The sequence below is a fragment of the Homo sapiens genome, chromosome 4, assembly GCF_000001405.40.
Source record: "Homo sapiens chromosome 4, GRCh38.p14 Primary Assembly".
NCBI lineage: Eukaryota > Metazoa > Chordata > Mammalia > Primates > Hominidae > Homo > Homo sapiens.
Window position 1 is genome coordinate 148,938,414 of NC_000004.12, and position 13,014 is coordinate 148,951,427.

The 13,014-nt window shown below is 37.3% G+C and overlaps 2 long non-coding RNA genes across 2 annotated transcripts in view; one reads left to right on the plus strand and one right to left on the minus strand.

Moving 5' to 3' along the window:
* The window catches only part of LOC107986195 (uncharacterized), a 496,338-nt gene that overhangs the window by 401,893 nt on the left and 81,431 nt on the right, over positions 1-13,014 (plus strand). The gene's annotated exons all lie outside the window — the stretch shown is intronic.
* Positions 2,533-3,965, minus strand: LOC105377480 (uncharacterized). The gene is made up of 3 exons (NR_134681.1): positions 3,929-3,965; positions 3,244-3,429; positions 2,533-2,674 (listed from the first exon to the last, which is right to left on the minus strand). It is a non-coding gene; the product is annotated as an uncharacterized LOC105377480 (long non-coding RNA).

Below are 13,014 nucleotides of genomic sequence, written 5' to 3' on the forward strand. Positions count from 1 at the left end.
GTCTGCTGTCTGCTTAACTTAAGCAAAGAAATAGTAATCTTAGCAAGTAAAGAATAAACATTCCCTTTCTATCTTGTTTAAACTATTTGTATGCTTACTAATCATTTTTACCCCATATACTATAAAGGTAAACTTCAACAGAGATTTGAATTGATAACATTTTATAGAGAGGCATACAGCACTCCCTGTTCATTTGTCCTGGTTTGAATTCTAAAAGTGAAGAAAAATGTCAATAATAAAAGCACAAATAAATAAATGTCTCAAATTAAAAGCTTGCTTCTTTTTTTCCCCCATTCTCCTATTTTTTTTTTCTTTGAGATGGAGTTTCACTCTTGTTGCCCAGGCTGGATGGAGTTCCAAGACCCCGTCTCTGCTCACTGCAACCTCCACCTCTCGGTTTAAGCGATTCTCCTGCTTCAGCCTCCGGAGTAGCTGGGATTACAGGCACCTGCCACCACGCCCGGCTAATTTTTGTATTTTTAGTAGAGACAAGGTTTCACCATGTCCGTCAGGCTGGTTTCGAACTCCTGACCTCTCCCCTGTTTTATTGCTTTCTACCCTTAGTACCAATTCTCCTTAGACCAAGAACACTCTGTATGAATGTTTATTTTTAACTAACACATACAGCTTTGTTGCTCTTTGAAAATTTATTCAACACTCTCTTCTTTTTTGAAATGTTACATGTTTGTCTTCTTTCTCATTAGTTTCTTGCCAATGTCCAATATTTTGTTTGGTGTCTAGTATCCCTGGAGGTATAAGCAACGCCTTTCCCTGTGCGTTTGCTCTGTCAGTCCCTTTGGTACCATGTTTAAAACGCTCTTCTTTTTAGGATGATCATTTCTCAGTCGGTTAGTGAAATGACACTAGGGGCATGAAAGCATGTGGCATTAAGCGATGTGTGTAAGCATTGGGAGATCTCCTAGAAACAAACTCTGGAAGTCTGAGAGTCATTAATAAGCCTCCGTAATTGGCAGGGGTTGGAGGTGGGAGAGTGCTGGACAGAAAGTGCAGTGTGGGGCAAGTAGGCTGCACTCCTTTGGAAGTGGAGCACTTTCTGTTTCTTTTCTTTTCTTTTAATGCTTAAATGAAGGTAGCTTTGAGAGGAATTAGGAGCAGTTTCCTGAGTGCTTTGCATGTCCACCTTTTCATTATCAGCCCATTACATACACATCTGCACACACAACACAGTAAACCCAGGAGCAGGGATCCTCAGAAGCACATTCTGAAATTACTGGAGAAGGAAAAGAGAAGCTAAAGCCTGGAGAGCAGTAGAACCATGGAATGCAAACACATCCATTCTGCTGTTAACTGTTTTACTAGGGAATGTTGGTTACAGATAGTGACATAAGAGAGCAAGGTTGTAGAAATACCACTGTAGAAAGCAGTAGAAAGAGTAATAAGAGTAAAATAGTTAAAAACAAAGTGTAAATTTCCAGTGTCCACATGGGTTTGGAAATGCTTACAAGTGGTGTCATGCAGAGCAAATGTTATGGGTTGTCTCTGTTCACTCCAATCCTCCTGCATATTTACTTTTGGAGATGATATAAACAGATATCAATAAAACATAGGTTGATTAAAAGGCTGTTATCTAAAGAGTATTATAACTATTGCTGTAGAGCCACGTTTTACTCTTTCTTTTCTTTTTTATTGGCAATTCAAAATTCAGTATCTATGATTTGCAAGGAAACATAAAAAAGTAAGTGATGGAGACCCTGTGACAATACAGGTTCCCTTAACTAACATTCCTGAGTTCTTCATACTAGATGTGTTTTCCTTTACATGGGATAGGGAATGATAATAGCTCAATGATTCCGAAGGATTCAACTTTTGAATACAAGCCATAGACACAGAACCAAATTGAGGTAATAAAAAGAAAAAAAAACCAAAAACATTTTGTATATAAGTAAAAACCTTATTTGTACACTTACTTTATAATAATCTCTTCTCCTTTTCATTCTTGACCCCAAAATTTTTATACTAAACTTTATCTGTTTTAGTGCAGGGTCACATGAATTTTCAAGGCTTTTAATATTTTCACACAGTACGAATTCAGTTCACTCCAAGTTAGCCCCTCATATGCCGAAGACCGGCCTCGGTGTGGTGGAGCATGCAAAGAAAAGCTCAACATGGTCTCAACTCTGACAATGTAATCTTTTAGTATAGGGATAGCAATCTAGAAATTTGGGAAATGGGCAAACCTAGCAAAGCAGAAAAAACTCTGGGGAGGTCATCATGACTCCCTCAGGTTCAGAATTGAAGTCCCAGTAGAGCAATGCTCTCAGCTCCTTCCAAGGCCTACTTAGCCTGGAACACTCCCCATGCTCACAGCAGTCATAGATGATACACAGCTGTCTTATTGCCTGCAAAGAGGAGCAGAAGAGAGGAGAGGAAGTTTTACTGATAAAACAGAAAGCAGGGTCAAATCACCTAGGTTTGCCGTTTCCAGAACTAGAATATTGAAAGCAAATCAGATACAGCTTTGCAAATATAAAGCATCTTTACACATAAAGATGTTGAGAAGCAGTCATGATATGGCCTATGTAATGAATTTATTTTAGAACAAAGGGCAAAATCAGCAGATTATTTTTCACACAATGGGATGCACAGATGTCATCTACCCATGCACTGACTGATCTTCTGTTTCTTGTTGGTCTCTTCCTGCAGCACACAAACTCTTTGTGAACAAAATTATGAACAGTTATTGCCCAAATAAGAGTTCTTCAACAGATAGGACAGGGGTAAAATTATAGCAGGAGATTTGGGGATAGATAGCATCATCTTTTTTCCTCTAATTACAGGATGAGTAGATACATGAAAGAAAATTTACTAAGTGTAGATAAGAAAAATTACAAAATAAAAATTATTCACAGAATTAAACACTCTGATCATCTGTTATATTTTACTAAGTCTATCCTCCTAAATATGTGTAGATAATATAAATGTGCATATCAACAAAACCATTGGACCATTTATTTAATAACATGTCTGTCTTCTGTGCATCTCTTCATTATTTCTCTCTTCATAATATCTACTGGTATATTATTCTATTATATTGATGTATCATACTTTAATATTTTATTGTTGAAAATTATATTTTTGTTGTTTCTCAATATTACTTTTATAATAATATCTACCATTCATTGGATGTTTATAATCGCTCCTGGGCTTCATTAAGCAACGTTTATTGGACAGTTTCAACCCATTGGTTCTTATCATGGGATGAATTTTTTTCTGCAGTCGTACCTCCCAGTCTTGCTATTTTGGATCTTGGTTGTTTGTTACACAGCAATTTCATGATGACATACAAAGAAAATTCCACAGAGTTCCCATTATTTTCAATTATTAGTCATTTTCCTAGTTTAAAACTCAAACTCGAGTACAGGACCATTCTTCTCAGAGTCCTTAGAGATTTCTTCATCACAGAGTTCCCTGATGTGGAGAAGCACAAGATTGAACCTGACTGAGCAATTTCCTGCCTTCTTAGCTCCCACCTCCCACCTCCTAGGTGCTCATAGGACAGCACTCTGCAGGAGGGCCCTAGCAAAATGGCAGCTCAACCCTGGCTATCTCTAGCAGTGTTTCTTGCCATACAGAAACTCAGGAATTTCAGCCCCACAAAATGAGGAGGATGCAGCTTGCCTCTGCATTATGCTCCCACTATGTTTACTCTATTACCTCTCACCAATTTGCTATTTTTTGTTTCACGTAGCCACAAAATGATCAAAAAGCTACTTAAAATGCCAACTTCTCCTTCTTGCAGAGATCCTTAATCTTTTCAAGTGATTCATCTGATGCTCTACCTACCTAGCTCCTCTGCACACTTAGTTAAACCATGCCCCTTGGGAGAGAAAACCCATAGTCATGTCTCTCCCCAACCTAAAGGAGCTGACAACTCATTAATCTGAAGATTTCCTTCTCTTTTCCTCACCTGTCTTTTGCTTGTATAAACTAAAGTTTATACAGATGGTCTAAGCGAGTGTTAATCAAAACTTAATGTGCACCTGAGTCACCCAGGAACTTTTTAGAATGAAGATTCTAACTCCATAATTGTGAGGTGGGGCCTGAGATTCCTATCAGGTTCCCAGGTGATGCTGATGCTGCTGGCTTATGGACCACACGTAGATTAGCAAGGGTCTAGTGATTATGGTTGATTGTGCTAAGACTATTCCACCACACCCTTTTTTTCTTTCTTTTTTTTTTTTTTTTTTTTTTTGAGATGGATTCTCACCCTGTCACCCAGGCTGGAGTGCAGTGGTGCAATCTTCACTTACTGCAACCTCCACCTCCCAGGTTCAAGAAATTCTCCTGCCTCAGCCTCCCGAGTAGCTGGGATTACAGGCATGCGCCACCATGCCCGACTAATTTTTTGTATTTTTAGTAGAGACAGGGTTTTACCATGCTGGCCAGGCTGGTCTTGAACTCCTGACCTCGTGATCCGCCAGCCTTGGCCTCCCAAAGTCCTGGGATTACAGGTGTAAGCCACCACGCCCAGCCTTTTCCCCCTTTTTAGAAGACCTTAGAGGGCTCTGTGGCCCCAACTGCTGGCTGCTGCCCTGTAAATATGGGGTTCTAAGTCATGGTCCCTGGACTTGAGCTCCATTGTTGATTTCAGGTGAACACAAAAAGTTTCCTTCAGTATTTGTTGTCACATGTATTATCTTACTTCATTTTCACATAACATTAGTATTATCTCTGTTTTACCAATGAAGAAATTGAGGCTTCAAGAAGTTAAATTGCTCATCCAAGATTACATAGCTATACATACACAAACCAAGAAAAAAATCCCATTCTGTTCAGTCTCTCTTCAACCCTTTCCCCCGATGATTCTTGCTACTGTAATAGTATCTTGCACCCTAGGGCAGTTTTCACAAAAATTGCAATGAAATTGTTTGCTGTAATAACAATAAGAACTGAAGTTTATTAAGCATTACTATTAATAAATGCCATGCCCAGTATTGAGAACTTTTTCCTGCATTATTTTGTTAATTTTCACATCTGCTCAAAGAGGTGGTTTAACTTTGGAGAAGTTAAGAAGTTAGTATTGACTGCTTCACTCCAAAGCCCAAGATGTGAAATGTAACACTATGTTGTGGTATATATGGCTATAGCAGTATCTTTTTGGTTTTAATCCCAGAAAAAGAGGTAATTCCAGTGAGCTACAGAAAGAAGTAAAGATAGATAGATGGATGTTTGTAAGATGATTTTGTAAGTTGTAATAAAAAAGCTTGCCACTAAATTATTTGGAGTTTTCTATAAACTTCCAATGCACACTTACTGAGATGTGATGATACCTTATTAGATATGAACTGAATTGTTACATGGACTTAAGTGTTTGTCATTTCATGAGCTGATGTTCCTGGAAGTTTACAAGTCTGGGTCTCCTGCTAATTTGTAGTATGAGTTGGAGTTTTTCACCTATAAAATTCTGGAGTTTCATTTGTAAATTCTAGAAAATTACTATAGAATTGAAGATCTGGATGTTCCAATGGCCTAGGAATATGAGGTGCAGAGGATCTAAGTGACTGTTCCAGGGTGACCATGAGCTAGTTATAGGCTTAAACTCAAATCCAGGTCTCCTGCAATGCACTCCAGGCCTTATTCAATCAGGCTGTGTCTCATTTCCTTTTGCACAAACCTTTGGGGAAATGTGCTCGTTCTGAATCTGGTCTCTATAACCCGTTAATGTCCCTCAAGGGAATAGGGATGTTAGGTCTCTATACTGCAGCGTGCACGAGCAACACTAGCTTCTGCTCTCTAAGCCCAGCTCTTTGCCAACATGTGATTTCTCTGAAGACATCAGCAGACCTAGCACAGGGCATAGTCGGTCCTGGAAATATGAGCCCCTTCTGCTGTGTATCTATATGCCTGTGACCCGGCATCCTTTTGCCTTTAATGAGATTTTGCAGTGACAGGATTGGAACAGATTGCTGGCATTATGGCAGCCAGGATATTGTCAGGAGGAACTTGGCAGTGCTCGTAGGTGTTATGATGCTGGCTCTTTGCTCAAGGGCAAGAATATTAAAGGGAAAATTAGAGATAAAACAGAGAGTGAGAGGTAATGTCAGAAAAGTTCAGAAGATGAAACCAGTAGCGGTAAATATATAGAAAATGATTTGAGGTTTACACACTTTTGAGTCCTTGGTGAGTGAAGACATAGCCAAGAATTGCTTCAGTGATATTCCTTCATAAATCTGCATAATAATCTCTCGGCGGGGCTTTGGTGAAATTACAAGTATTCATTTACTAAATTGGGTTCAGTGTCTGTATCACGCACACCATATGAATATTCAGTGCAGTGAATGCTTCCCAAGCTATGTTGAAGTTAACACATAAGCTGAATATAACTCAAGTGGAACTCAAAATTGCACGCTTACTTTAACTTAACAGAGGTCCTAGTGTCTTGAAGAATTGGACCCACCCCCACCCCAGTATGTCAATTAATACTCATTCTAATAAAACCAAATGTAAAGTGCTTTCAGTATTTGTATCTGATTTTTGGCATTAAGTAGTTTTCTTTATAACAGAGGATTAGGATAATAATACACAAGGCTATGAATGGTTCCTTAGAACACAGTGGCAGCTGCCAAGCAGATTCAAGAAGAATGTTTAATTACAATACTCAGTAATAACAACAAAGAAAAAGTTCAATGAGAAGAAACAACTCTATTATGAGACAAAGGTCTGTGCTGAGTGAAAGAGGAACAGTGGAACACAGACATTGTTGTAGCTGGAGTTGCCTTGGCAGCTGATGGGCATTTCACCTTAAAACTTGAGCATTTTTCTTCTCAAAGCAACTCAGTTGGCTTTCTAGGGTAAACATACAGAATCACTTCTATTTCCAAAAAAATGCATTTTTCCACAAACTAAAATTAGTAATTCTCAGAGAAGAGTGATCACTGCCAGTTCTGTATAGCAAAAGAGCACTTAACTAGGAGTCAGGCAGCTTGAGTTCTCATGCAGAACTCTATAACAAACCAACTATTTAAACCTCAAACAGCTGGTTAGTCTCTCTGAGCCTCTCTTGATTATGAACTTTTCCATGATATTTTGATTATACATACATATTTTGATACAAAAATATTCCTTTGGAAAAATTCTTAGTCATAATATTTTATATTGTCCTAAAGTATAATGTGAGTTCAGATCCACAGTAAATAGTCAAATGCAGTATGTGAAGTTTTATTGAAAGACAGTATTCACTTATACTTATTATACGGGAGGTATTATGCTAAATGTGCTTCACATGCAAAATGTCAGCCACTAAGGTAGCTTTATTATTATCTTCACTTTGTAGGTGGAGAAATTGAAGCCCCCAAAATTTAAGTCACTTGCCCAATGTCTTGCCCAGTTAGTCAGTAGCAAAACTGAGATTCAAACTCCAGTTTCTTTAACTCCAATATGCTTTTAACTATTTGCACCTCCTTCCTGTAGAACAGCTGGATGCATGCTGAGCTTTTCTTATCCATCACTAGTGTGTGCTGCAGAAATTGATTTGGGTTCTTAATTGAGTGTATTAATCATCTAAAGAGGTCTAGACTGAGGTATGGGAAGACACTTGCTTAAAGGACAAAGCTTTGAATTTCAGAGGCGCTGAAAGAGGGAGTCATGGAGGCTCAAATCACTATGCTTAGCCATGGGAAGCAATTGGAGAGGCTGGTTTCCTCCTATTTTTAAGGATATTACTTTCAGATATCTGTTGCCGTGAGGCAAATATGATAAAGAAGCCTACAAATTAGCAAATAGCACCTGGGAGGACAGTCATGACAGTGGGTTGCACATACAAAACAGGAAGGAGTAACCTCACTTGTATGGGTCTTACCAATGGGAGGAGGTTTTGAAAAGCTAATGCAAGGATTTGGGGAATGGTAAATCTGAAAAAAGAAAAAGGTTTATTTTAGCAGAGATAGTAAGTCTGGATTAGAACACATAGAGGTTGCAGCTAGAGAATTGGGTGTGGAATTTTTCTTAATGATGTAAGACAAGCCAAGTCTGGGGAAAAGAATTTAGTGGTGGTTATCAAAAGATATGAATAAAATATCTGGAAGGAGATTCATCAGTCTCAGGTGATGAGGTGTCAAGATGCAGTCTCATCATAGGGAATGCTTCTCCATGGGAATATTTGTTCTTGGAGAGGTGCCAGAAGGGAAACTAGGTGCCGAAGTCAGCTTAAGCTTATAGCAATGTACATGAAAAATAAAAAGATTTCCTAAACATGAAATTAGAGAAAATCCATTTTTCTGTAAAAACATTCAAAGTTAGACCATTATATCCCATCAAACATGATAATCTGATAGAATGGAAATGGCTAAGAATGACTTGCTAAAGAAAACTGTAGAAGAAGAATAGAAAGGCCTTTGGGTATTCTTGTAACTAGGGAGAGGACTGAAGAATATTTTGAAAAGGTAGAAGGTGAGATTTATTATGTCAAAGTTTAAAGACCTACAGAATGTAATTAATTGGGTTAGAAAGCAAGCTTTGGCAATTGGCCTGAAGGGGATAGGGAAGATCAAAGAGGTCTTCCTCAAAGAGGTCAAATTGAGTTGACCTAAATTTGTCCTCAGATATTTGCTACTAACATGCCCTAGAAGGATCATTGCCATTGTTGAGTTACCATAAAGATTAAAGTAAAACATCTTTATCCTTACATTCATAGATTCAAGCCTGGTAGTAGAGAGAGTGTCTTCTTACATTCACAGTGTAAATAAAGAAGCAGTCATGTGCCTATGAAGCTGCCCATCTCACATATTTAGAGTCAAAAAAATTATTTTAAATAAAAAATGATCTAATTCCAATACATTTTTATTTTCATTAAAATTGAGAATGCTACCATGGTGAGTGAGTAAATCAGGAAGGAAAGCATAACCAGGTCATTGGAAAATGTTTTAACTGTGGTTTTCCACTAATGGAGATGGTGTTTATAAAGTCATATGACCAAAAAGAGGATCCTCCTTCCACACTCCATAAGTGTTCTCGTTAGTGTGACTCTAGGCAGGGATCATTGGAAATGTACGTATCCAGGGTTAGATGGGCCTTCACTACGCTCTGCTTAGCCAGCTAACAGAGCATGGAGCTCAGCCCCAAGGAGATCAGAAGAGGATTCGTGGTCCTTGGTGACTTTACTTAGGTTAAAATGAAGCATCCTGATTTCAGAAAACAACATTCAGTAGGAGCCCTGACCTTGCACTGGCAGGCAATGAAGCTGGAAAAACACACCCTTAGGCCAGAACATTTTCAGAGCAGAGAGTTGACTTAGGTTCTTTTATTTAAATGGTTTTTACTTCATCAAACTTTTTTATTATCTATAAGACAAATGATTTAAAAAAATTCCTTGAAAAAATAACAAACCAAACAAAGCAGAAAGGATTTTTTGGTTTATTCTCTAGACCTCTCTCCTTCCTTACTAAGATCAGTTTCTCTGTGGATATAATTATCAGATCAGTAAGCTGCAACCACGAATCGCAAAAGCAAAATGAATTGTCTGATTTAAAAGGCAAAGGTGGTTTATCTTGGTTTTATACATTTTGATTATGAGATATTGAATATGTAAACAAAGTTGGGGTAACATGTCCAGACATAATAGTTTTCATGTTGCCATCCTTTATTATGGAAATGGTTAGGCAGTATGTCCTGGCCAGCACTCAGTAGTCCTTTCAATTAATTTAAAGGGGCTACGACTTTTAAAATCAGGTACCTATACAGACTTTAAACCTTTCATCAAGCACATTTCTGGTTCCTGTTGACTTCAGCAGAACTTGTTTTAGCACCAGTTTAACAACGATTGGTCATATTCAATGACCTTGAAGATGAATTAGGGGGAGGGAACGGTTGGAGCAATCCATATGCATATTTCTATTTAAAGTTTAGTAAGCAGAAGTTAGGTGTTTCATAAGGGAGACTGAAGTTATAATAGAAAATAAATTTTTAAGCAACAATATAAAGGAAATATGTGATTTCTTGGATGAGGAATAATGGGTTTGATCTTGAGTCTCAAATTTCCCATCTGAGTTATTTGCTGAAAGCCATATATTTAGGGTTTATTTCAGTGTGTCTGTAAAATGGGAACAATTATTCCACCCTGCTCTACATTAGAAATAAATAACATATAAATGGACTTTGAGATCATAAGATGAAGGGCTATATAAATGTAAATGATTCAAAATCATTTAAAATGAACCCAACTGAAATTGTAGTTTTAAAAAAGATTCTCATAAATGAATTAAATCAATTGAAGTAAAAATATTACAATACATTATAAAGGAATTGCTTTTGAGAAGTTGAGCTTTAATGACTATGAAAAATTAGAGAAAATGCAGTAGATTAATTCACATTTAAGACATGGCTGTTATTGTATCAATCTCAAGTTAGAACCAGTATTTCCTGGAATTTCAAATGACCATTTGTTAATATATGGGGGAGAATTCTGTATATGGGCCATAATGTAAGTACACAACATTATTATTCATTCCTCTATTCAAATAACACAGCTTTTATTATGTGCCTCTTGTGTTCTAAGCAACATGCTAGGCCCTAGGAATGCCATAGGGAGAAAAAAGGAGTCCAGGACCTAGACTCACGCTGTCACGGAGATGTCTTGAGTTCTCTTTTATGGCAGAAAGAAGACCTATCAAAATGTCAACAGAAAACATGAAGCGAGAGGGCGGACATCATCATGTAAAAAGGTTTCGGGATTTCATTACTGAGTTCCAGAACATGGACTCAACATGAGAAAATGTAGAGTGTGGCCATTGGACAAATTAATGAGCATGTTGCTGTAGTTTCTTCTGCCTTTTTTTTTTTCTCAGCTTGTCTACACTACCTAGAGCATCAGTGCTGAGAATAAAACAGAAATGACAAGTCTGAGTTGCTTTGTAACTAGATATACAAGGGGCTGATCACCTTAGAGGATTTGCGAATCCTGGAATGTTGAGATAGGAGCACCTCGATGTTATTTTTCAGCTCTTCCACCTGAAAGGTGAAATCCATTAGAAGGATTTGAAGACAACAGAGAAGGTTTTTCACCCTCATCTGAGAAAGGCAAAAAAATTCATGTCTAGCTAATCTCATGGAAAATGAGGAAACTTATTTGTACAGTTTTAATAATCTTCTCTATGCTGATCATTAGGACAAAGGGCTAAATGTATTGCTTGGATCACAGACAACCCATTTTTGTTTTTTTATCATGCCTCACACAAAGTTTTAGCCTCTTTTCTATTTGAAAAATGGAGTGGAAAGGTGGGCGGGGATCATTTCCCTTAACATCTTTTAGTTGTTATGAAGTCTGTTGAGATACTACGTCAAATTTTCTCCTCTTTCTGAAGTAACCCTGGGTCCTTTCCGAAGATACTGGGAAATTTGTAGAGACCAAAGAGTATCTCCCACTTTGACGTCATGTGCTGGCATTGTTTAATGCTGAACCGTTTAGAAACTAGTGAAGTTGTATAATTCACTTGGATTTTCTTGCTGGTTATTCCTAGTACAATTTACCTTGTTAATTTGTTCTTAATGAGTTCATCAGCAATGATTTAATACAACACTGAGGAACAGCTTTCTTTAGTCTTTAACTCGCGACAGTTCCCCTTCTATTTGGCAGTACATTAATGGAAATGGAAAATTGCCTCATTCTAAATGTCAGAATAATACTGCACCAAAAACAATTCAGTCATGTCTTTCAAACCACGCACATATGGTTCATCACCAAATGTCACTCTTCTATTTCCCCCTTCCCCCCATGCCCTCCCCGCGCCTGTACCTTCCCTCTGTCTTTCTTTCCATTCGCCTGTCTCTGGTGATAATTGTTTGGATTAACTTTCCAATATCTTTACATCAGCTTTATTTCTCCTGTTGTCTGTATTTGTTAACAGTCCAGGAAGCAGTTCTCCTTACACTAGTTTTACCTAGATCCTTGGAATTGGCAGAGTTCACAGATCAGGTGACAGCTACTGCTTTTAATATCACAAATGTCTTTCATCTGCTCTCAAAAATGAAAAAAAAGTTTCTGTGAAGTTTCTTCAAAATAATTTTTTGTGCATATTTTTGGCCTGTTTGGTAAAGGTCTCTGTGTAAAGCTATGTTCCCCACTCTATCTACATTAGGGCAATTCTTTTCTTCCTAGCACTATATTCAAGCAAATTTCTTTCCAAGATGAATGCTTTTATTATGAATATCTTAATTGTGATTTATTGGGCAAGTTCATAATGAGAACATCCAGCACAGTTTCACTTGCACTTAAGGATACAAACTTTTAATTGCAAATCTCAATTCACTAACACTTAAAGGACGTTTCAATAAATTTTAAAAATTAATCTATATGCTAAGCTACCTAAAGTCTGTCCATTTTTTTAAAGGAAAAGCTAAAAGATAAAGCAATTTTCAAAGTTATCAAACATCAGCTTTCATGGGTTAACATATGATGCGTATCTTAAATGATAAATTTCTCTTTCTGTAAAGGGCCCCTTCTTCAGATATTATTGGGGGGAAACCATTTGAGAAAAACACTCCACTCTCAATTGTATATTTTTAATATTTTTCTATTTAAGGTACTTGTCTGAAAATAGAATTTTGAATCTTACCTTATTGGTTTGCTTTTTATTTCTATCAGAAATCCAACTTGCCTGTGAAGTATGAATATTTTAATTCAAGTAAATGTCTTCTGCAAAAGGAAGATCTCTTGTTTAAACAGTCAGCAGATAATCAGAGTGTGACCCACAGTTTTGTGTTACAGAGGTAGGGTCAGAAAGCTAAAGAACATTATTTCATTTCTCTGTTTTTCTTTTTCATCTAGTGGTATTAAGAGGGTTGCTATTCCTTATTCTGTAGAAACTATATGATATCATGATAATTTGTTTTTCCATGATTTACTTAGCATCTACTATGTGGCAGGTGCTTTACACAGGTTATTTAATCTGAGAAGTAGGTTTAGGAACAGTTTTCTCAGAGGTTTAAAAAGTTGTCTGACATTCCAGAGATGGTATGTATGGGAACATGTGCTTATCTGATTCCACATTTTTTTCTGTT